This window comes from Homo sapiens, chromosome X, assembly GCF_000001405.40.
Source record: "Homo sapiens chromosome X, GRCh38.p14 Primary Assembly".
Classification (NCBI taxonomy): Eukaryota; Metazoa; Chordata; class Mammalia; order Primates; family Hominidae; genus Homo; species Homo sapiens.
Genome location: NC_000023.11, coordinates 154,091,743 through 154,116,424, shown reverse-complemented (window position 1 = coordinate 154,116,424; position 24,682 = coordinate 154,091,743). Strand labels below are relative to the sequence as shown.

The 24,682-nt window shown below is 44.9% G+C and overlaps 1 protein-coding gene across 16 annotated transcripts in view, besides 6 other annotated features; it reads left to right on the top strand.

Annotated features, from left to right (window-relative positions):
* Positions 18,423–18,782: a silencer, noted in NCBI's record as "silent region_21085". NCBI's record gives its function as "represses an Ori minimal core promoter by ATAC-STARR-seq in GM12878 lymphoblastoid cells {active_cell/tissue: GM12878}" and the evidence as "EXISTENCE:reporter gene assay evidence [ECO:0000049][PMID:35858748]".
* The window catches only part of MECP2 (methyl-CpG binding protein 2), a 76,145-nt gene continuing 70,170 nt past the window's right edge, over positions 18,708–24,682 (top strand). For 6 of the 16 annotated variants that reach the window (NM_001386138.1, NM_004992.4, NM_001386137.1 and 3 more), the window contains exons 1-2: positions 18,708–18,821; positions 24,118–24,241. Coding sequence is in view for 4 of the 16 variants with exons in the window: in NM_004992.4 (NP_004983.1) it covers positions 24,216–24,241 (26 nt within the window). In the remaining 12 variants the exon portion in view is untranslated. Of the gene's footprint in view, positions 18,822–19,455; positions 19,613–19,643; positions 22,048–22,875; positions 24,242–24,682 lie in introns of those variants that run through there. The other 10 variants (XM_047442120.1, XM_047442119.1, XM_047442118.1 and 7 more) reach the window with 5 other exon arrangements.
* Positions 18,868–19,106: a silencer, noted in NCBI's record as "fragment chrX:153362776-153363014 (GRCh37/hg19 assembly coordinates)". NCBI's record gives its function as "represses an EF-1alpha promoter that drives an FKBP-Casp9 reporter gene in an ReSE screen in K562 erythroleukemia cells {active_cell/tissue: K562}" and the evidence as "EXISTENCE:reporter gene assay evidence [ECO:0000049][PMID:32094911]".
* Positions 18,868–19,142: a biological region, named in NCBI's record as "ReSE screen-validated silencer GRCh37_chrX:153362776-153363014".
* Positions 19,083–19,142: a silencer, noted in NCBI's record as "silent region_21084". NCBI's record gives its function as "represses an Ori minimal core promoter by ATAC-STARR-seq in GM12878 lymphoblastoid cells {active_cell/tissue: GM12878}" and the evidence as "EXISTENCE:reporter gene assay evidence [ECO:0000049][PMID:35858748]".
* Positions 19,203–19,282: a silencer, noted in NCBI's record as "silent region_21083". NCBI's record gives its function as "represses an Ori minimal core promoter by ATAC-STARR-seq in GM12878 lymphoblastoid cells {active_cell/tissue: GM12878}" and the evidence as "EXISTENCE:reporter gene assay evidence [ECO:0000049][PMID:35858748]".
* Positions 19,603–19,692: an enhancer, noted in NCBI's record as "active region_30053". NCBI's record gives its function as "activates an Ori minimal core promoter by ATAC-STARR-seq in GM12878 lymphoblastoid cells {active_cell/tissue: GM12878}" and the evidence as "EXISTENCE:reporter gene assay evidence [ECO:0000049][PMID:35858748]".

Below are 24,682 nucleotides of genomic sequence, written 5' to 3'. Positions count from 1 at the left end.
AAAAGAGTCGATCATCCTCACAGGTCCTAGACATGGGAGACACGGCCCGGCACACGAGGCCCCATGGGGAAGCACCAGGGGGTCGGGAGGCAGAATACAGGGGCGACAGGAAGACTGAGGCCAGAGCCTTTACTGGGGTTTCCACAGCAAAGGCAAGGCCAGCAGTTTAAAGAGCTTAAGGGCACAGGGCTTGTCCCTGGTTGCCTGGCGCCTGGCTCTGGGATGATGAAGGCAGAGGGAGGACGAAAGGGCCTGGGCTGCTCAGTCTGCACACCAAAGGCCTGTTAGCAGCAGGGCCCTTCCTTCTCTCTAAGAATTGGCTGGCCCTGGGAGGACAGTCTCTCCAGCCAGAAAGAGTTTTTTTGTTTTCGTTTTTGGAGTTTTTAGAAAAGATGTCTAAACATTATAATATACAGGTAATGTATGTGCACACACACACACACACACACACACACACACACAGACGCAAACACACACACACAATACACACACTGCAATGGCAACACCTGGAGCTAATGGAGCAATTCCCTCCAAATGCTGGAGGAAAATCATTTCCAACCTAGAATTCCACATGTAGCCACATCATCAACGGCATCAGTGGACAGAAGGTTGTCAGACATGCACGTTCTCAAACATTTCTCTCCCACACACTCTTTCTCAGTGCGCCAAACTCAGGGGGTAGACAAGAACAAGACGACAAGGGCTACAGGGACACCAGTGCCAACAGACAGGAGACACAAAGGAGACCCCGGGAGGAGGGTTCAGCCTGACCAGCTCCCAGGCTTGAGGGCAGCCAGCCTGGAACGGCAAAGTGTGACTTAGAGACAGAGGTGTGCAGTCTCTGGTTCCCATCCCAGCCCTGTCAGGTGCACGACTGCAGACCCCTGTTTCCCAGGAGTCGCTAACAACCTTGCCCACTGGCTTTCCCAGAAATGAACTGTCAGGGAAGCCGAGGCCAGGCCGTGACCCAGAAACTCCGTCCAGCTTCCTTCTCCTGGGAGCCTTGGCCTAGAGAAAGGGCAAGCGGTTGCCCTTTCCTTACTCACCACTTGGTTTTCTATGCATCACCTTTCTTGTGCATTTCTACAAAGCGAGACTTCCCTGTCACTCCATCTAAACTCACAACCCTCCCACTGCCTGTCATGCTAGACTCTGGGGCTAGAACACTGAAGAAATCCGCAAAGATGCCATTTCCTCCTTGACACCGATAACAAAGGCAAGAGAGGTGCAAGTGTGTTTGCGGAAGTTATTCATTCAGTGAACTGACATGTGAGTGCCGAGGATGGGCCAGGCACTTCCAGATGCTGGCTTGAGCCCTGTTCTTGGGGCACGCTCCTTTGAGCGGAGAAGACCAAAGTGAACACCTCTAGAATCTGGAACGTTCAGTAGCGATAGGTGCTTGGAAGGAAGGCAGAGCTAAGGCGGAGAGCAGGACCAGGTAGCAGTGGCAGTGGCAGCTGCTGTTCCATATGTGCTGGATGGAGAGGGTTTCTCAGTGGCCAAGGCCATTTGAGTAATTGATTCTGATTTCCTTTGCAGCATGATATATTATCCTCCTTTGTAAATTTGTCCTTGGAACTAGATAGCGCACATTCTCTGTAGTGTACACAGTTTGACACATAGTTTTAGCCAGCTTGTTTCCTTCTCTTGGTTTTGCCCCAAGAAAAAGACTGTGTCATACTTCTGCCCATTTCTTCTTCACCTACTTCCAGCAAATTGTGCTTTCTCTAATAAATGCTGCCCGGTTCATAAAGATTCATTACAGTTACCTCTTTATGGCAAAGTGGTCTCCTTATTGACATAAAATTATACTTTTTTGATACCATTTAATGTTCTTTGAGTTCTGCTTTGCCAGACACCATTACTACTTTTTTCATTAATTTACATTTATTCACCCAAACTGAAAGAGGTTGCTGAGAGCAGATGGGTCTCTGAAGAGTTCAGACAGTTGTTCAATTAACTGGCACTTCTGAGGGACAAACCAGTGACCCTTTTCTTGGAATGGCAGGGCCATAGGGCATAAGTCAGTAGCTGGTTCACAGGAAATCATCCCCATTTTCGAAATAAGTGATTATCTGGAAGGAAACATTCTGGAACCAAGTCTAGCAAACTCAGATGCGAGGAGCAACAGCGGTCTGAACAGTGGCGGTGAGCAGTTCTCCATCTACGTTGTTGTTACTGTGAGAAAGCCAAAATGTCTAAAGCTGTGGGGTAACAACAAGTGAAAAGCTGAACAAACCGAAAAATCAACAGCTTTTCTTAGACCTATAAGAAAAGCTCACTTCCACTGCCCTGGAAGTTGGAGAGACAGACAGGTGGATACAGAGAATCACGACTGGGCAGAAACATCCGTGGGAACCACTGCTGGAGGGGAGACCTGAACTGTAATTGACGAATTGCTGGAGGCTAGGTATGGACAAATTTCAGAGCGAAAAACTTCAGGGGTGGCCACTGATGGGGTGAGCACACTTTTGTGAGTTTTACCTCCAGGAGCTTGACCAGGTTCTCACAGTAAATATCAGAGAATAACTTCCTCATGCTTCTGGCAGGGGGAGGGAAAAGGAACCATTTTGAAATCATTACCTCCAACTTCTCAGAAACCCTGGAAGCAAGGAAGGAGCAGAGTGAAATGTTTTCAGTGTTGAGAGAGACTCTGCACCGACCTAGAATTCTGTACTCCCGGAAGTTATCCTTCAAGAGTGATGGAGAATAAAGACTTTCTCAGACAAATAAATATTGAGAAAATGTGTTGCCAGTAGACCTGCATTGCAGGAAATGGTAAAAGAAGTCCTTTAAAGAGAAGGACAATGACATAGGGTAGAAACTTGGATATATGTAAGGAAAGGAGAGCATCAGAGAGGGAATAAATGAAAGTAAAAGAAAAACGTTTATTTTTCTTATTCCTGATTGATCTAACAGCTAACATTTTCTTCAAAATAATAATAGCAACAATCTATTTGATTATGTAGCCTAATATACAGGTGAAATGAATGACAGCAATGGCGCAGGGATGAGAGGGAAGCATTAAGATTATTGTGTTATTATAAGGTACTCACACTACCTGGGAAGTGGTACAGTGTTATTTGGAAGTGGGCTTGGATTAGTTGTAAATGTATATGGCAAACTCTAGGGCATCTGCTAAAAAAGGTATTAAAAAAGAAGTATAGCTGATATGCTGAGAAAGGAGAGAAAATAGAATCATATGAAATGCTCAATTAAAACCACAAAAGGAAGAAAAGGAGCAGAAAACAAAAATAGAAACAAAAGCAAAAATTAGAAAACAGCACCAAATATCATTAAATGTCAATAGTTTAAGTACACCAATTAAAAGACAGAGATTGGCTGGGCATGGTGGCTCAGGCCTGTAATCCCAGCACTTTGGGAGGCCAAGGTGGGTGCATCACCTGAGGTCAGGAGTTCAAGAGCAGCCTGGCCAACATGGGGAAACCCCGTCTCTACTAAAAATACAAAAATTAGCCAGGCATGGTGGCAGGCACCTGTAATCCCAGCTACTTGGGACGCTGAGGCAGGAGAATCACTTGAACACGGGAGGCAGAGGTTGCAGTGAGTGAAGATTGCGCCATTGCACTCCAGCCTGGGTGACAGAGTGAGACTCCGTCTCAAAAAATAAATAAATAAATAAATAAAATAATAAAAGACAGAGATTGTCAGAGGAAGTCACAAAACATGACCCAATTATATGTTGTCTACAGGAAACCCATTTGACATGTAGACACCTGTAGATTAAAGGTAAGTGGATGGAGAAAGATATATCATGCTAACAGATAATCAAAAGAAAGCAAGCAGCAGCTATATTAATTTCAGACAGAGCAGACTTCAAAGCAAGGAAAGTTATCATGGATAAAAAAGGGCATTACAGGCTGGGAGCGGTGGTTCACGCCTGTAATCCCAACCCTTTGGGAGGCCGAGGAGGGTGGATCACCTGAGGTCGGGAGTTTGAGACCAGCCTGACCAATATGGAGAAACCCCGTCTCTACTAAAAATACAAAAAATTAGCCGAGCGTGGTGGTGGGTGACTGTAGTCCCAGCTACTCAGGAGGCTGAGGCAGGAGAATTGCTTGAACCCGGGAGGTGGAGGTTGCAGTGAGCCGAGATCGTGCCATTGCACTCCACCCTGGGCAACATCTCAAAAAAAAAAAAAAAAAAAAAAGGCATTACATAACAATAAAGGGGTCAATTCTCCAAGAATACACAACAATCCTCAATATGTAAGTGCCTAACAACAAAGTGTTCAAATACATGAGGCAAAAACTGGTAGAACGACAAGGAGAAATTGATGAGTCCATTGACAAAGTTAGAGACTTCAATACCCCTCTGTCAGAAATTAACAGATCCAGCAGGCAGAAAATCAGGAAGGACATAGTTGAACTCACCAACACCATCAATCAACCTAATATAATTGACATCTATAGAATACTTTATCCAACAGCAGCAGAGTACATGTTCTTCTCAAGCTCCCGTGGGACATTCACCGAGATGGACCACATTCTGGGCCATAAAGCACACCTTAACAAATGTAAAAGAATAAAATCACACAGTGTTTTCTCTCAGACCACATTGGAATTAAACAAGAAATGAATAACAGAAAGATAACTGGAAGTCCCCAAATACTTGAAGATTAAACAACATGTGTCTGAATAACACATGGGTAAAAGAAGAAATCTCAAGAGAAATTTATAAGTATTTTGAACTAAATGAAAATGAAAACACAGCTTACTAAAATGTGTGGGATGCTGTGAATGCAGTGCTTAGAGGGAAATTTATAGCATTGACTGCATATATTAGAAAAGAAGAAAGATCTAAAATGAATAATCTAAGCTTCCACCTTAGGAAACTAGAAAAAGAAGAGCAAATTAAATTCAAAGTAAGCAGAAGAAAAGGAATAATAAAAATTATGGCAGGCCAGGCACTGTGGCTCATGCCTGTAATCTCAGTGCTTTGGGAGGCTGAGGCAGAAGGATTGCTTGAGCTCAGGAGTTTGAGACCAGCCTGGGCAACATAGTGAGACCCTATCTCTACAGAAAATAAAAATAAAATAAAATTTAAAGTAAAAATTATAGCAGAAATCAATAAAATTAAAAACAGTAAATTAATAGAGAAAATCAATGAAATCAAAAGCTGGTTCTTTGAAAAGAATAATACAATTTGTATGGCTCTCGCTAACTAGGAAAAAAATAGAGAACACAAATTATTAGTATCAGAAATGAAAGAGAGAACATCACTGTGGATCCCATGGACATTAACAGGATAATAAAGAAATCCTATGAACAACTCTATGCCCACAAATTTGGAATCTACATAAAATGAATCCATTCCTTGAAAGACACAATCTGCCAAAACTCACACAAGAAGAAATAAACAATCTGAATAGGCCTATATCTTTTTTTTTTTTTTTTTTTTTTTTTTGAGACAGAGTCCCACTCTGTTGGCCAGACTGAAGTGCAGTGGTGCAATCTCCTCTCACGGCAGCCTCTGATTCCCAGGTTCAAGTGATTCTCTTGCCTCAGCCTCCTGAGTAGCTGGAATTGAAGATGCCCACCACCACAGCTGGCTAATTTTTTTTGTATTTTTAGTAGAGATGGGGTTTCGCCATGTTGGCCAGGCTGGTCTTGAACTCCTGACCTCAGATGATCTGCCCACTTTGGCCTCCCAAAGTGCTGGGATGACAGGCATGAGCCACTGCGCCCAGCCTGAATAGGCCTATACCTATTAAAGAAATTGAATCAATAATTAATAACCTTCCAAAAAAGAAAGCACCAGGCCCAGATGGGTTCATTGTTGAATTCTACCAAACATTTAAGGAAGAAATTACAGTCATGTGGCACATCAGAGCCTTCCACTCAATGACAGACCACATATATGATGGGGATTACAATGCTTAGGATATGTTTAGATACACAAATACTTACCATTGTGTCACAATTGCCAACAAAATTAGTACATGAACATGCTGTACAGGTTTGTAGACTGGGAGCAATAAGCTAATCCATATAGGCTACAATTTAAGTTTGTATAAGTACACTCTGTGATGTTCACACAATAATGAAATTGCCTAATGATGCATTTCCTGGAACATATCCCCATCATTAAGTGATGCATAACTGTATACCAGCTCTTTATGATCTCTTTCAGAAGAAGCTGAGAGAATACTTCCTAATGCATTCTATGAGGCTAGCATCACCTTGATGTCAAAACCAGAAGACATACCAAGAAAACTATAGACCAATATCCCTAATGAACATAGATGCAAAAATCTTCAACAAAGGATTAACAAATAGAATTCAACAATGTATACAGAGAATTATGACTATGACCAAGTAGGATTTATCCCAAGTAGGCAAGGCTGGCTCAACATTCAAAAATCAATTAAAGAGGCCGGGCGCGGTGGCTCACGCCTGTCATCCCAGCACTTTGGGAGGCCAAGGCGGGTGGATCACCTGAGGTCAGGAGTTTGAGACCAGCCTGACCAACCTGGTGAACCTCTACTAAAAATACAAAAATTAGCTGGCTGTGGTGGTGGGTGCCTGTAATCCCAACTACTCGGGAGGCCAAGGCAGGAGAATTGCGGAGGTTGCAGTGAGCCGAGATCACGCCATTGCACTCCAGCCTGGGCAATAAGAGCGAAACTCTGTCTCAAAAAAAAAAAAAAAAAAGAAAAGAAAAAAGAAAGAAAGAAAAATTTGTCCAAGCGTAGTGGTGTGCTCCTATAATCCCACCTACTCGGGAGGCTGAGGCAGAAGAATCGCTTGAACCTTGGAGGCAGAGGTTGCAGTGAGACGAGACTGCGCCATTGCACTCCAATCTGGGCGACAGAGTGAGACTCTGTCTCAAATCAAACAAACAAACAAAAAACAAACAAACAAGAAAATTGGGTCGAAAATCTTTAGAGAAACCTCCCCAAAGAAGATAGACAGATGGCAAATAAGCATATCAGACGATGCTCCATATCATACATTATCAGGGAAATGCAAATTAAAGCAACAATGAGACGCCAGTACACACCTACTAGAATGGCCAAAATCCAGAACACTGATAACACCAAATGCTGGTGAGGATGTGGAGCAATGGAAACTCATTCCTTGCTGGTGGGAGAGCAAAATGGTATAGCCACCCTAAAAGACAGTTTGGTGGTTTCTTATAAAACTAAACATACACTTGCCAGATGATCCAGCAATCACACTCCTTGGTATTTACCCAAAGGAGTTGATAAGTTATGTCCACACAAAAACCTGCACATGGATGTTTATAGCAGCTTTATTCATAATTGCTCAAACTTGGGAGTAATCAAGATGCCTTTCAGTAGGTGAATGGATAAATAAACGGTGGTATATCCAGTTGATGGAATATCATTCAGTGCTAAAAAGAAATGAGCTCTCAAGCCATGAAAAAACATTGAAAGAAGCTTAAATGCATATTACAAAGTGAAAGAAGGCAATCTGAAGAGGCTACAGACTGTAGGATTTCAACTCTATGACATTCTGGAAAAGATAAAACTATGGAAACAGGGAGAATATGGGAATTCTCTGTACCTTCCTCTCAATTTTGCTGTGAACCTAATAGTGCTCTAAAATATAAAGTCTTTAAAAAGAAATCTGGCCTTCCCTCTCCCTCACCCTGCAGGGGCAGGTCCTGTTGCCTGCCTGTCCCAGGATCCAGGCTCAGCTGGTTTCTGGCTGGGTTTGACCATAGGAGACCCGAGCCGGAGACTAGAGGGAAGAAGAAGTGGGGGGAGCAGCTCGGCGGCAGCTGCAGCTCCTACCAAAAGGCCCCTGTGGTTCTAGGCCTTCTCTCTGTGGCCCCCCAACCTCGGGTGGGCTGTGCTGATCCCCTATCAACCTCCAAGTAGTCCTGGGTACCCTTTCCCTGGTATTTAGTGCCCTAAGTCGAAGTGGTTTCTGTTTTCCTGGGGCGACTCTAAACTGATGAAATAGTCACTTGGAGACTGATATGATTTGGATATGTGTCCCCACCCAAATCTCATGTTGAATTGTAATCCCCACTGTTGGAGGTGGGGCCAAGTGGGAGGTGATTGGTTCACGGGGGTGGGTTTCTCATGAATGATTTAGCACCATCCTCTTGGTGCTATCCCCACAATAGTGAGTGAATTCTCACCAGATCTGGTTGTTTAAGAGTGTGTGGCACCCTGGAGCCCCAGCTACTCAGGAGGCTGAGGCAGGAGAATCACTTGAACCCGGGAGGCATAGGTTGCAGTGAGCCGAGATAGCACCATCCACTGCACTCCAGCCTGGGCAACAGAGTGAAACTCCGTCTCAAAAAGAAAAAAAAAAAAAAGTAACCCCGACAATGTAAAATTAAAGTGTAGCTGATGCAAAATGGTCAAAGATAACTTTACTAGTGAAAGCTAATGGAACAAGAGATTTAAATGTATTATTTAAACATACAAAGAACTAAAGATAACAGTGGATGGTGTTACATACATGGTCATATATCAGGTGTGGGGGTCCCCAATACCACCTGCAGGAACACCCAGGCCTGCTGGAGTTAACTCTTGCTACACAGAAAGAGGAGAGAAATGTGTCCCATCCAGCAACAAAAACCTATCCTTCCATGTTTTGTGTATAGGTTGACGCTAAAACCTGAAAAGCAAAAACAAAAATTCACATTAGAAAGTCTATGTAAATATTTTCAGTGCCAGGTCAAGAAGAGGAATGCTAGGATTATATTTCTTTCTTATACGTCTAATTCGATAGTCCCTGAGTCATTTGAAAAGAGAACTTTCCTAGCACCCAGGTCCCAATGATTCTCTTCTTACCATGAATTAGGAAAATTATGATCTATTTTACTTTACTTCTGGCTTTTTTCTTTTTTCTTTATTTTATTTTTATTTTTTGAAATGGAGCCTCGCTCTATCACCCAGGCTGGAGTGCAGTGGTGCAATCTCGGCTCACTGCAACCTCCACCTCCCAGGTTCAAGCAATTCTTGTGCCTCAGCCTCTTGAGTAGCTGGGATCACAGGTGTGCACCACCACACCCAGCTAATTTTTATATTTTTAGTAGGGACATGTTGGTTTCGCCATGTTGGCCAGGCTGGTCTTGAACTCCTGGCCTCAAGTGATCTGCCCACCTCGGACCCCCAAAGTGCTGGGATTACAGACTTGAGCCACTGTGCCCGGCCTGCTTCTTGTTTTGATCATAACTTTCTTTTTTTTTTTTTTTTTTTTGAGATGGAGTCTCACTCTGTCGCCCAGGCTGGAGTGCAGTGGCGCTATCTCGGCTCACTGCAACCTCCGCCTCCCGGGTTCACGCCATTCTCCTGCCTCAGCCCCCGAGTAGCTGGGACTACAGGCACCCGCCACCACGCCCGGCTAAATGTTTGTATTTTTTAGTAGAGATGGGATTTCACTGCGTTAGCCAGGATGGTCTCGATCTCCTGAACTCGTGATCCGCCCGCCTTGGCCTCCCAAAGTACTGGGATTACAGGCGTGAGCCACGGCTCCTTGCGGATCATAACTTTCTTGTATAGTTCTTTCCTTCTGGTATTTTTAATTGCTTTTCCTTATTTTCTTGTACTATTTGCCATCATCGTATCCAACTTCAGACTCCCAATCACACCATCTAATATGTTGAATTCACATATACACAATTTTTTTTTTTTTTTTTTTTGAGACGGAGTCTCACTCTGTCGCCCAGGCTGGAGTGCAGTGGCGCAAGCTCGGCTCACCGCAACCTCTGCCTCCCAGGTTCAAGCGATTCTCCTGCCTCAGCCTCCTGAGTAGCTGGGATTACAGGCACCCGCCACCATGCCCGGCTAATTTTTGTATTCTTAGTAGAGACGGGGTTTCGCCACGTTGGCCAGGCTGGTCTCGAGCTCCTGACTTCAGGTGATCCACCCGCCTCAGTCTCCCAAAGTGCTGGGATTACAGGCGTGAGCCACCACACCCGGCTATACATATATATTTAATTCTTGGAGTCCTCTCTCCCAGAGCCTACCATTCTCCTACTCCAACCTGGACTGATTGCCAACCAGGCTTTCTGCCCAGTTGGCATCCCTGGTATTTCCCATCACAGCTCTCCTGGATTAGATCCATTGTCTTATGGATCCCACATTTTCCTTTTTCTTGGCTTGCACCCTTGATTTGCTGCAGAGCATCCCCAAGTAGCTTCCTAAGAAAGTACATTTCAGAGGCAAATTTTCTTAGCTCTTGTGTATCTAAAAACATTTTTATTCCATTATCACACATAATGGATATTTTGGATGGTGTACTTCTATGTGGAAAATCATTTTCCCTTGGAATTTGGAAAGCATTGCCCTATTATCTTTTTCTTTTCTTGTTGTCCTGTGATCTTTTATCATTCAGTGTTGTTATGAACTCTGGTGCTACTCTGATTCCTGTTCCTTTTTCTTTATTTCATTTTTCCATAATTCTTGTTAGTTGCTTGCCAGACTTCCTAGATCACTCCTCAAAGTCCTCATATTTTCTCTCATATCTTTGTCTCTATTGTTTTGTTCTATTTTCTGGGAGACTTCTTCAGTTTTATTTTCCAATATTTCTATTGAAATTTGAATTTCAATAATTCCTTCTTGTTCTCTGATTGCTCTTTTTACATAATATTCTGTTCTTGTTTTATGAATACAGCATTTTCTTTTAGTTCTGTAGATATGTTAATTAAATTAAATTTTTTGATACATTCCCTGAATTTTCTTGAATTCCAAGTTTATATTTTTTCTACAGGTTTATCTTGACTCTTTTTCCTGTTGAAGGCTTTCATCAAATTTCTGATAATATTTACTGACTGGTTTATATTTAATAAGGAAGGACTGGATAAGTATTGTGGATTTAATCTGCTGTTGGGCAAATAGGTCTGTTTTCCTGCTGTGACTCTTCTCTGTGTAGGACAGGGAGGTGACGAACAGAGTATCCCCTAGATGCCGGAATGAGGAAACAATTGTTCAGGGGTTGTCAGCATCCATGCTGGAAGCCTTAGCTCTCCACCGACATTTCAATCAATTTCTTTACAGAACTGTCAGGTGTTTTCCCTGTAGGTCTGTGCCAGCTCCCAGCTCAGCTGTCTGGTGGGGAGAGGAGGTTCCAACTGGTACAGTCATTCTGTACTGGTGCCTTCAATTAATCCCCATGTGTTCAGTCCTATTTAATTCTATCGTTTTCTACCACATGCCTACTGATTCTGATTGTCTGGTGTTATATCTAGCAAACTCACTCCCACTTCTTCTGTGGCTCCCTTGTCAAATATTCTCACCTGGATTTTTACTGCCTATTTTATTCATCAATCAATTCCCATATGCTTTCTATAAAGTTGTTGTCCTTTGATGATAACCTCTCATCCTCACCACATTCTCTTCACTCTGGTGGGTTTATTCCTTTCCTTTTTTTTTTTTTTTCAGACGGAGTCTTGCTCTGTCACCCAGGCTGGAGTGCAATGGCACGATCTCGGCTCACTGCAACCTCTGCCTCCTGGGTTCAAGCGATTCTCCTGCCTCGGCCTCCCAAGTAGCTGGGATTACAGGTGCGTGCCACCAGGCCTGGCTAATTGTTTGTATTTTTAGCAGAGGCAGGGTTTCACCATGTTGGCCAAGCTGGTCTCGAACTCCTGACCTCAAGCAATTCACCCTCCTTGGCTTCCCAAAGTGCTGGGATTACAGGCATGAGCCACCACACCCTGCCTCCTTTCTGTTTCTTGACATTCTTCTTTTAGTGCACTTCTATGAGTAAAGAAGGAAAACTGTGTGTGTGTGTGTGTGTCTGTGTCTGTGTGTCTGTGTGTGTGTCTGTGTGTCTGTGTATGTGACTGTGTGTGTGTGTCTGTGTGTCTGGGTGTGTGTGTGTTCATGCACATCTGTGCCTGCTCATGGTGTCTTATATCAGAATTTATTCATTTCTTATCTATTTTCTAACAAATATGGTTAAGGCTATTAATTTTTCTAGGTGACCTCTGTAGCCTTATCTCCTAGGTTTTAATATGTAGGGCTCTCAATGTTGGTCATTTCTTTTGTTTTTAGAGACAGGGGCTTGCTCTTTCTCCCAGGCTGGAGTGCAGTGGCATGATCCCACCTCAGCCTGTTGAGTAGCTAGGACTACAGGTGCGCACGTGCCCAGCTAATTTATTTCATTTTTGGGAAAAACGGGGTCTCACTTTGTTGCCCAGGCTGATCTCGAACTCCTGGGCTCAAGCGATCCTCCTGCCTTGGCCTCCCAAAGTGCTGGGATTACAGGCATGAGCCAGCGCCCCTGGCCTGGATTAGCTCTTCTGAAATATATATATTCTCTATCAGTTTAAGAGATTTTTAGACAAATGGAGTAAAAGTTTGTGTTGTTTGTCATATTGATAAAATCCTTCTGGTTGTGGGCTTTCTGTCAATTACCATCTATACTAGATTTTCCTGGTTTTTATCTTCTACAGTCCTGTTTTTAAGAGGACCTTAAACTATTACAGTCCCATTTTTTAAATTACTGATTTTTAATTCTAATAGTAAATAATTTTGATTATAGTATATTTTTCTTTTTTTTCTTTTTTTTGAGATGGAGTCTTGCTCTGTTACCCGGGCTGGAGTGCAGTGGCACGATCTCGGCTCACTGCAAGCTCCGCCTCCTGGGTTCACCCCATTCTCCTGCCTCATCCTCCCAAGTAGCTGGGACTACAGGCGCCCACCACCACACCCGGCTAATTTTTTGTATTTTTAGTAGAGACGGGGTTTCACCTTGTTAGCCAGAATGGTCTCGATCTCCTGACCTCGTGATCTGCCCGCCTCGGCCTCTCAAAGTGCTGGGATTACAGACGTGAGCCACCATGCCCAGCCGATTATAGTATATTTTTCTACTTTTCAATGGCAAGTGTGAAACTGTATAACTTAAGTTCCTTCTATTCAACCTAAGGAATTTAGCAAGATTCTCTTCATTATTTTTTAATATTTCAAAAACTTCTTGAGTTCTAGTCTTGTACATTATTCTTTCCAATCTAGATTTAAGTTGTTATAGCCCATGAAACTTCTTGACTTTTGATTGAGCAAAGAATTTCCAGAGTTATTGATGAAGAATTAACATTTCTATAATGTTAATGCTTCCCCTCCAGGAATACGGTAGCGTCTGTTTTTGTTTTTGTTTTCTTCAGGTCTTCTTTTAGATTTTTCAGTAAAGTTTTATAGCTTTTTGATGCAGGTTTTGACATTTCTTATTAAGTTTATTCCCAGCTGTTTTATAATTTTTGTAGTGAGAGTGAGTTGAATCTTTTTTCCCTCATTACATTTTCCAGCTTTTTATTACTGGTCGTGTTTACATGCCTGCATCCTAACACCGGGGAACTGACTTGAAATGGGCCTTTCTCCCCGCAGAGACGCACCAAGAATGAGGTTTAAAAGAGAATGGAAGAAGGATGTATGTGGGGCTTTTTATTTTTGTTTTTTAATTGACACATATTTAGGGAGTACAATTTGATATTTCAATATATATTTATGTTGCACAATGGTCCAAGCAGGGTAGTTAATATATCCATCAGCTCATGCATGTACCATTTCTTTGTTGTGGGAACTTTCAAAAGTCTCTCTTCTAGGTATTTTGTAACATACAATATATTGCTGTCAACCATAGTCACCCTGCTGTGCAATAGAACAACATAATTTTTTTTTTTGAGACAGAATCTCGCTGTGTCACCCAGGCTGGAGTGCAGTGGTGTGATCTCAGCTCACCAGGTTGCTCTGCCTCCTGGGTTCGAGCGATTCTCCTGCCTCAGCCTCCCAAGCAGCTGGGACTATAGGCACCCGCCGCCATGCCCAGCTAATTTTTGTATTTTTAGTAGAAATGGGGTTTCACCATGTTGGCCAGGCTGCACTCAAGCTCCTGACCTCAAGTGAGTCACCCACCTCAGTCTCCCAAAGTGCTGGGATTACAAGCGTGAGCCACTGCACCTGGTCAAAACACCAGAATTTATTCATCTTATCTAATAATAACTTTGTACCTGTTGACCAACCTCTGCCCATCCTCCTCTCCCCGATCCTCTCCCCAGTCTCTGGTAACTACTGTTCTACTCTCTGCTTCTATGATATCAACTCTTTTTTGTTTTTGAGATTCCACATATGACTGAGATCATGTGGTATTTGTCTTTCTGTTTCTGGTTTATTTCCCTTAACTTTATGTCCTCCAGGTTCATTCATGTTGTCTTAAGTGACAGGATTTCATTCTTTTTTATGGCCGAATATTATTCCATTGCATATATGTACCACATTTTCTTTATCCATTCACCTGTTGGTGGACACCTAAGTTGATTCTGTATCTGGCTATTGTGAATAGTCATTCAATAAAAATGGGAGTGCAGATAACTCTTCCACATACTGATTTCATTTCCTTTGGATATATACCGGTAGTAGGATTGCTGGTAGTTCTATTTTCAATTTATTGAGAAACCTCCATACTGTTCTCCATAGTTGACTATACTAACTTACTACCCCACCAACAGTATGAAAGTATTCCCTTTTCTCCACATCTTTGCCAACTTGTCTTCTTTTGTCTTTTTGATTAAAGCCATTCTAACTGAATTGAAGGGGTATCTCATTGGGCTTTTGATTTGAATTTCCCTGATGATGAGTGATGTTGAACTTTTTTTCCCCTCCCTCCCTCCCTCCCTTCCTTCTCTTTCTTTTTTCGAGACAGGGTCTCACTCTGTCACCCAGGCCAAAGTGCAATGGCACGATCCTGGCTCATTGCAGCCTCAAACTCCTGGGCTCAAGTGATCCTCCCACCCCAGCCTCCCAAGAAGCTGAGATGACAAGTGTGCACAACCATGCCTGGCTAATTTTTTGTTTTTTTAGAGACAGTGGTCTTGCCATGTTAACCAGGCTGGCCTTGAACTCCTGGACTCAAGTGATCTTCCCACCTCGGCCTACCAAAGTGCTGGGATTACAGGTGTGAGCCAAGGTGCCTGGCGAGATTTTTCCCATATACCTGTTGGTCATTTAAATGTTTTCTTTTGAGAAATGTCTATTCAGGTTTTTTGCCCTCTCCTAACCTTTTATTTTATCTATCTATCTATCTGTCTGTCTGTCTGTCTGTCTATCTATCTATCTATCTATCTATCTATCCATCCATCCATCCATCCATCCATCCATCCATCTATTTCGAGATGGAGTCTCGCTCTGTCACCCAGGCTGTAGTGCAATGGCACGATCTCGGCTTACTGCAACCTCCACCTCCCAGGTTCAAGCGATTCTCCTGCCTCAGCCTCCAGAGTAGCTGGGACTACAGGTGCGTGCCACCACGCCCGGCTAATTTTTTTTTGTATTTTTAGTAGAGATGGGGTTTCACCATTTTAGCCAGGATCATCTCAATCCCCTGATCTCGTGATCCGCCTGCCTCGGCCTCCCAAAGTGCTGAGATTACAGGCGTGAGCCGTCGTGCCTGGTCACCTTTTTTTTTTTTTTTTTTTTTTTAAAGACAGGGTCTTGCTTTGTTGCCCAGGCTAGAGTGCAATGTGCAATCATAGCTCACTGCAGCCTCAAACTCCTGGGCTCAAGTGATCCTTCCACCTCAGCTTTCCAGGGAGCTGGGACTACAGGTGTGTGCCACCACGTCTGTCTAATTTTTAAATTTTTTTTGTAAAGACGGGGTCTTGCTTCTTGCTATGTTGCCCAGGCTTGTCTTGAACTCCAGTTCTCTGATTTTTAAAAAAAATCATAAGTAGATGTTGAATTTTATCAAATGCTTTTTCTGCATCTATTGAAATAATTATGTAGTGTTTTTCCCCTTAAGTTTGTTAAGGTTGGGTTTCTAATTTTAAACCATATTTGCATTCTTAGGATAAAACTCAACTCGGTTGTGATAGATCATATACTGCAGGATTCAGTTTATTTGTCTAGAATTTTAAAACTTATTTCCACATCTTGTGTCATACTTTTCTTGGCTCATCATAGTAGATATATTAGTCTAGTAAAATAAGTTTGGAGACATTTATTTCTTTTCTGTGTATGATTGGAATTGCCTACTCATTAAAGATTTGGTAGAAGTCATCCATAAAGCCCTCTTGGTCTGTTTCTCTCTCTCTCTCTCTCTCTCTCTCTGTGTGCGTGTGTGTCTGTGTGTGTCTGCGTGTCTGTGTCTGTGTGTAGGAGGATGGGTAGCTTTTTAAATACATAGTCAATTTCATTGTGGTTACAGGGATTTTCTGTTTCTAAAGTCGGTTTTGGTAAGCTGTACTTTCCTAGGAATGTATTCCTTTTGCTTATGTTTTCAAATTTACTGACACACAGTGCATAATAAAACCTTTTCATGAGTAACATAATTTACTTTTCTCTTTTCTCTTTATATCCAGCTTGTTAGAGGGTTGGCTTTTGTTTTTCAGCTTTTCAAAGAAGCAGGTTTAAAATTTTCTCAATCCTCTCCATCATTTGTTTCTATTTCATTAAGTTTTATTCATCCTTATTTTTCTTTCTTCTACTTTTGCAGGCTTACTCTGTCATTTCTTTATGGCTTCTTGAATTGGATGTTCAGCGTGATGACTTTTGGACTGCTTTAGCCGCATCTCTATACTTCAGCATCGCACACCCAATGGCTTACTCAACATCTCCACTTTCACACCACTGGGCACCCCAAGCTTAATACAGCCAAAGCAGAACTCTTGATCTGCACCTCTGAAAATGTACTTTTCCTGTAGTTCTCCCCACTATGGTGAAAAGCACCCTTATTTCCCCAGTTGCTCAGGCCCCAATCTCAGGAATCATCCTTGTTTCTTCCCTTGCTCTATGCCCTACATCCAATCCTTTTGTTCAGTTCTGAAAACATATCTTGAATCTCACAACTTCTCAGAGCTGCACTGCTGCCACCCTAGTTAAAGCTACCATCAACTCTTTCTCCTAGACTGTTCCAGGGCCTTGCAACTAGCCTTGTGCTGTAGTTTTGTTTCATCACGTCCAGTTCTCCACTCTACACCTGCAACATAGATCAGACAGCTCCTGGCTCAAAATCCTCTGAGGGCTTCTCATCTTAGAATAAACTCTCGGTTCTGGCCGGGTGCGGTGGCTTACGCCTGTAGTCCCAGCACTTTGGGAGTCCGAGGCGGGCGGATCACTTGAACTCAGGAGTTTGAGACCAGCCTGGGCAACATGGTGAACTCCCATCTCTATCAAAAATACAAAAACTTAGCCAGGCGTGGTGGTTCGCATCTGTGGTCCCAGCTACTTAGGACGCTGAGGAGGGAGGATCGCTTGAGCTCAGGGTGGACGTTGCAGTGAGCCAAGATTGCGCCACTGCACTGCAGCCTGGGTGACAGAATGAGACCCCATCCCCACCCCCCCCAAAAAAGAATGAACTCCCAGTTCTCATAGTGGCCCCAGCTGCCTTTCCAATCACATTCCCTACCACTCTCCAGCAACACTGACTTCCTCGTTAGTCCCCAACATGCCAGGCATAGTCTCTCCTCATGTCCTTTGAACTTGCCTGGAATGTTCTTTCCCCAGATATTCATATGAGGGAGTAAAATGAGGGTGAAAACCAGCAGATATCTAAATAGCACCCCCTTCACTTAGTTTATCTTTCTCAAAGCCCTTATCACTATGTGAAATGATATATTATACTTATTTGTATGCTAGTATGAATCTTCCCGGCAAGAATGTTAGTTTGCTGTCTGTTCAGTACCGTGCATCCAGAGCCTGGAAGAGTGCCTGGCACATAGCAGGTAGTCAATAAATGAATGGGGGCAAGCAGCCAAATCAGAATCAGGTTTTCTTGCTAAGCATAGAACTAACAGAAGGATCATTGAATGGATTGGATAATGACTGGCATCAGGGTAAGGTCCCCTTAACAAACACTCCTGTCCTGAACACCTGGTTAGCTAACAGTTTTCTCATACTCTTATTTTCCCAAAACACAATTGCTGGATCTCAGCTCCAAATCAACTCTTCTAGGAAAGTGAAAAATTGCTGGATCTCAGCTCCCAAATCATATCTTCCAGGCAGAGCTAACATTGCCCCTTATTCACACCTCCACCAAACCATCTGATCCAACAGTGACAGGTGTCACGAGGCCTTGGCATGCACTCTCTTCCCCCGCCAGAGTTCTGCGAAAGCCAGGGTTGCGATTTGTTGTCAGTTTATTCCCCGCCTCTATGAGAGTGTGAGCACTGGGCAGGCTCGGATGAAATAATGCATTGAGTAGGCCTCTGAAACCAAGGCCCCTCAGCTGGGGCAACGTCAGGCTCCAGGGTGGGCAACTTTGCTGCTTCTGCCGAAGATAGTGATATTGAGAAAATGTGGGTGCAATGAAACGCTTATTGCAGCGCACTCGGTGCATCTGTGGACAGAGGGTCAATCGCCCCTCAGAGCAGCGCAAACAGGCGTCCCAAGCCTAGGCCTTCACTTGCCCCAGCATCCGCAAGGGTCCATTAATCCTTAACATTCAAATTCCGCCCACTAAACCAGTCCCTCCGCGCCCAAGCCGCCTCTTTTCCCCAAACGACGGCCGAAAGCAGCCAATCAACAGCTGGAGGGGTCCGCCCCCTTTTCCCTGGCCGAAATGGACAGGAAATCTCGCCAATTGACGGCATCGCCGCTGAGACTCCCCCCTCCCCCGTCCTCCCCGTCCCAGCCCGGCCATCACAGCCAATGACGGGCGGGCTCGCAGCGGCGCCGAGGGCGGGGCGCGGGCGCGCAGGTGCAGCAGCGCGCGGGCCGGCCAAGAGGGCGGGGCGCGACGTCGGCCGTGCGGGGTCCCGGCGTCGGCGGCGCGCGCGCTCCCTCCTCTCGGAGAGAGGGCTGTGGTAAAAGCCGTCCGGAAAATGGCCGCCGCCGCCGCCGCCGCGCCGAGCGGAGGAGGAGGAGGAGGCGAGGAGGAGAGACTGTGAGTGGGACCGCCGTGGCCGCGGGCGGGGACCCTTGCCGGGGGGCGGGGGTCAGGGGCGGGACGTGGCGCGGGAGGGGCCCGCGGGGTCGGACGACACGGCTGGCGGATGGCGTCCCTCCTCTCTACCCTCCCCCTCCCGCCGCCGCCGGTGGCGACTCTCCCCTCGGCCCGTCACCCCTGCTCGCGGGTGACCGTCCTCGGCGCGGCCTCCCTGGAGCCGCCTTCGCCTGACGCCCCTCTTCCTCCCGCCCTCGACGCGCATCCCGGCCCCCGGCCCCGCGGGCGCCCCTGTCGCCGGGGCTTCGCCTGTCGGGGCTGCGCGCGCTCCTGCCCTTCTCGGGGCTTTGGGCCGCGGCGCCGTCGCGCGCCCGCGGCCCCGGCCTCTCCCTGGATCGCGCTCTCCCCCTCCCTCCCTCGCGCGCCCCCTCTCCCGTTACTCGGCCCCCCCACCGGCGCGCGTGCGCACTTCGCCTCCCGTCGGGAGAGTGCGCCACAAGGGCTCCTGAGCTCTCACCCCCATCTCTGGGCTTTGCCTCCCCCTCCTTCTCGCCCATTCCATGAATTTCTGCCCCCCGCTACCCCCCCGCGAGCGAGTAGGTCCACCGGCTCCTTTCCCCATCTAGCAGGAACAAGTAGGTGGGGATTATTATCCACAAAAGGGACTAGACATTGTGTTCTGGGTCCCACAACTCATCATAAAGAGGTGGTTATAGTTCCCATCAGGAGCCGTGGGTAGGGGACTGTGCGTCCAGCAGCACCCGAGGCTCTTCGGCGCCAGAGGCTCTAAGGTGCGAGCGTGTCCCCAGGGTGCTCAGAGGTTCTTTGGAGTGCTGTGGCCTCGGAATGTGAGCACCCTCCCATCCTACCCTCCCCTTCGCCGGCGATCTTCCAGTTACATAAGTGGAGTGGGACATAGTAGGTAACGGGCTCTCATCGCCCTGGAGCGCTCGGGATCACCGGTACCAGATGGGGCAAGTTCATCGCGACGCTGTGGCTCCTGTTAATTGTGCCTGAAAGGTTATCCTCTGTTCAGTTTGGTCATGACCGAATCACCCAAACTGAAACTCAGATGACTTTTATATGGCAGTGGCAATGTTTCTGTGGTTTTGCACTAAAGACTTAAGGTCATTATGAAGAGTGTAAAAGGATTGCTGTCGCAGGGGAGACCGTTTATGACATTGCTAAGTATGGACCCCGAGGGGGAAAAAGCTCATTCTGGAATTGCTCTGTGGCGGTTGCTTCTGTTGCGAGTGTGTTCGGGTGTGGGTTGGTCACAGCAGAAATGGGCTCCACCACAAAATTGATATTCCTGACTCATGGTCAGGCAGATGTGTGCTTCTGGTTATTTTTCCAGGAACAGGAATGGGCTCTGCCGAGCCTTTCACACGTTGTGTCTCTGCTGTGCGGGATCAGTACCCCAGACTGTGAGATAACAGGATCGAATTCAGGGGTTGGTTGGTGATCCAGGAACCATACCTACTTGGATGTGATACTGAGTGGCCTAGACGTTGTAGGACTCTCATAAGTTTTAGACATTTTGTTATACTGTAAAAATGAAGCATATACGGCCTCAGTAGTAACATTGCACTAATAGGTAATTATTACTCTAGAGAATTTTGGGTTCCATGGCTGGAATGTTCATCAGTATCTCAGCAATTTCAGTTAATAACCAGATTAAGCTGACCTCTTGAGTCTTTTGAAATCTGCTGGGTCCCTATAATAAGACAGGGTCTGGATTTTTTAATCTTTTGGGAATTTCCACCAAGGATTTAGGGAAATAGGCTTTTATGGGCTTTTCAGGATTTCTATTTCAAATCCCAATGAGGAAGTCTAGGAAACACTTGCTTTTATTTTCTTGCCTGAATATGTCAGAACCTTAAATCACCCAATCAATCTAGAAGTACTACAGTTGATTAAAGTAAGTCACCACAGGTCACCCATTCGTGGCAGGTCAGCTAGGTGGCTGATCACTGGAATACAGTCATATCCCCAGGCATACACACGAGCCTCACTTGACGATCCCAAAGTTTGTACATCTGAGCTTGAGACGTGACAAGTTGAGGTCTCTGCTTTGTTCTTCATAGTTGGCAGTTTGTCTCCTCGGGTGCCCCTCCGGTTAGCTGTTTATCATACGTCTAGCCCTATCAACAGTGCAGGCAGCTTCCAGAGTATAGTTTTCTCTGCAAAGTGCCTGGTGGAGGGGTACCTCCTTTTCCATTGTCCTAATGGCTCCACTGGGCTTCCATACCAGCCCTTTCCAGTGTCTTAACAGCTCAAAGAAACCCATCTGTGGCTTTCTTGTTAGCACTGGCCTATCACACCTTCCTATTGCCTGTTAACTAAAATTTTGCCTGGAATGCTTTAAGCTTAGAGTACTGGGTCTTTGTTTCACCCGATTGATAGGAGAGTGTCATGCAGTCAGCCGAACTCCGACTTCTGTGCTGTTTAAATCCTTAGGTAGGTCTGGGGCAAGGCACAAACCACTGTGTATTCAAAGGGTTATGGTGCTTGCATTCTGTGTGTATATGTTTGTAATTTCCAACCAGAGTCGTTTCCCGTGCCTGCCCTGCCTCTGTGCAATCTAGTCTAGTAGGGTAGGGAGGCAAGCTGTGGAGTTTGAAAAAAAAAAAAAAAAGCTAGATGAGTTTAATAGGCTGTTACCCCCTCCAGAACATTCCTCCCATGTGGAGATGAAACGAGAAGTTCATTTCTTTAACCTAAAATAAAGAACAACAGAGATAAAATTGTTAGTTCCTTATTGGAGCCTGGTTTCCATTGCTAATGTACCTGCTTGGGACTCTGCATGATAAATGACGTGTCCTGGAACCTGAAATCTTTTATAAAGGTTAATATCAGCAGAAATCTTTTAATTAGCTAAGAGCAGCTTGTTCTCAAGCTGCCCGAGTTATCTTGGAGGAGAGAATCACAGGAAATGTTTGATATTTCTAGTAACCAGTGTTTTCAGTGCGTGGGGTAAAGCACACTCCTAGACTGGCCAGTCCCAAAGAGTGTGGCAGGACACCTGCTTGTTTTCCCTGCCCTCTGCTATGGTGACATCCTTGCAGACCAGTCTTGCGTGGCTGGCAGACGCAATCTTTTTTTCTTGGGTAGAGCATTATCACCGCTGCGATGGAAGGACCTTGTCCTCGGTGCCTCCATACCAGCCCTTTCCAGTGAAACTACTGCTGTCCCGGCAAGCCCCTGTGCGTGTGCATCATTCCGGGTAGGACAAGATGTGAACAGGTCCCTCTTCTTTGGGCTTAAGTAGAAGTTGTGCTCTTCTGCTTTTACCTGTGTGCTCTTCTGCTTTTACCTGTTCTCTTCTGCCTTTCTCTTGCAAGAAACCTGTCGAAAGCTTGCTTTGCATGCCATTGCTTAAATACTTTGATGGTATGTATGGTATGTGGGATAACTGAGTGGGAGCCGGAATTGGGGGGTGGGCAGGGCATCCCCACCCCCACCCCCACATCAAAGGGGGAATGACCATTTCGTTAGAGAATAAAGCCTGAGTCTTATAACTTCTTCAAGCACATGTATGCTGGGTCTCCTGGCGTGTGAATGTGTTCCCGCTGTGCTGTGTGGCTGTTTTGCAGTTACTGTAGACACTGTAGTCTGGGCTCTCATTATTGCCTCTGAAGTTGACAGGACCAAGCCTTAGTAAGGATGCACTTGTCTTCCTAGCCCAAGAGCTAGGGGTGTTTTATATATATATTAACTTTCTTTTTTAGATTTCATAAACTGCTCTCATTTTCTCTTTTCTTTCTTTCTTTTTTTTTTTTTTTTTTTGAGACAGTCTCACTCTGTCACCCATGCTGGAGTGCAGTGGCACGATCTCAGCTCACTGCAACCTCTGCCTCCCGGGCTCAAGCAGTTCTCTGCCTCAGCCTCCCAAGTAGCTGGGATTACAGGCACCTGCCACCACGCCTGGCTAATTTTTGTATTTTTTTTTTTTTTTTTTTTTTTTTTTAGTCGAGACGGGGTTTCACCATCTTGGCCACGCTGGTCTTGAACTCCTGACCTCGTGATCCACCCGCTTCAGCCTCCCAAAGTGCAGGGATTACAGGCGTGAGCCACCGCACCCAGCCTCTGGCTCTTTTCTTTTTGACATGAAATCTTAAGTTAATTATCTTAAACTTTAAGAACTAGAAGGATTCTTAGTCCAGCACCATCAGTTTACAAACAAAAAAAACTTGTGTCCCTGAGAAGTTGTGACTTTTCCAGGGCCTCCTAGCCAGGATACCAGTTTGGTTTTTATTATATAGCTAGCCGAGTAATACTATTAACTTGACTTCTGGGATTTCAAAGTATTCTATGACTTGACTGTTTAAGGGAATTATGAGGCCTCACTGAACCTCAAAAGATAATTTTAGGTACCATCCTGGTAGCTGTAGAGCAGCAACAGACCAGTAAAAGACTTGGTTGGTGTTGCCCTTCTTCTGGGTTTGATTACATGAGTAATTGTGTGAATAGTCTCTAAGTTGTATGCTCTGAGCTTTCGTTTTTAGCTTATAAAAGTGCTACTCTTGGGCCAGCATAGTATCAGAAATTAGCTAATTCATATGGGGCAGTTTAGGCTTTAACTAGGAAATGATGGTTATCTTAATGACAAAAAAGGTACTGACAAAAGTCCTTTTTTGAACATGTGTTCAAAAGAAAAAGAGAAACTATCAAACTAATAACTGAGTTTGTTGAACATCGAGATTGACTGATCTGAGAGGCTTAAAACTGATTGCCCTGAAATAGACTTGCATGTTTTGGATGATGGCTTTGGGTCTCCCAGAGCACTTGGTTTCCCTTGGTGCTGATTTTTTCTCTCAGGATTAAAGCCCCTTTATGTGATGTTGTTACAGCAGCTTATTGCAACTTCATTCAGCTGCTTGAAAAAGAAGGGAGACTGCCTCTAGGTTCCATGTGTTCTTTCAGGGATGGTATTTTGATGTTGCGTATTCTCTTGAACATGTATTCTTCCCTGAGAATTTCTGTGTGCCGTGGTAGAAGAAATACTTGCCAGAAATCGCCACTCATGGTATGCTTTTGTAGTGTCGAAGTGTCCCCTAGAGGTGACAAGGCTTGTGATAGTGTTGATTCTAACAAGCATGAATCTTTCCTTTATTTTAGCACTGTGTGTTACGTGCCAGTAATTTGCAGCTTATCCTTTGTTTCTAGCTAGGTAAGCTGGGAAATAGCCTAGTACTTTGTCTATGTGTTTATCTTCAAAATGTCCCAAATAGCCCTGGGAAAAAGGTCGTGCAGCTCAATGGGGGCTTTCAACTTACAATTTTCTTTGTTTTAGGCTCCATAAAAATACAGACTCACCAGTTCCTGCTTTGATGTGACATGTGACTCCCCAGAATACACCTTGCTTCTGTAGACCAGCTCCAACAGGATTCCATGGTAGCTGGGATGTTAGGGCTCAGGTAAGTAACCTTCCTTTTTTTTTTTTTAGTATATGTCCTGGTTTGGCCATCTGTTTTTTTTTTTTTTAAAAAAAAAAAAAAAAGGAAAAGAGGAAAAAAATATACTACTCTTGGACAGTATAAAAGTACCCCAAAGACTAAAGACATAACTGTGCCAAACTGTGCCATATAATAAAAAAAAGTCACTTCCCTGAGCCCTGAAAGGTCAGTGTGTGTAGGGTTACTTGGTCGCCACAGCGTGATCTGGGGGCGGGCGTCAGATTAGAGCCGGAACTGGTGATCTGCAACTTCAGTTCACCTTGAAGCAGGTCAGCTGAGCTGAGAGCGCTTGCACTGAGCCCTTTTGCGCTGCTGCTGTTGCCTTAGCGGTCTTCAGCATGTGTTTGCTTTGGTTTGGGGTAAATGGCTTAGTGGTCAACATTAGTGAGCAGTGGTAATGCA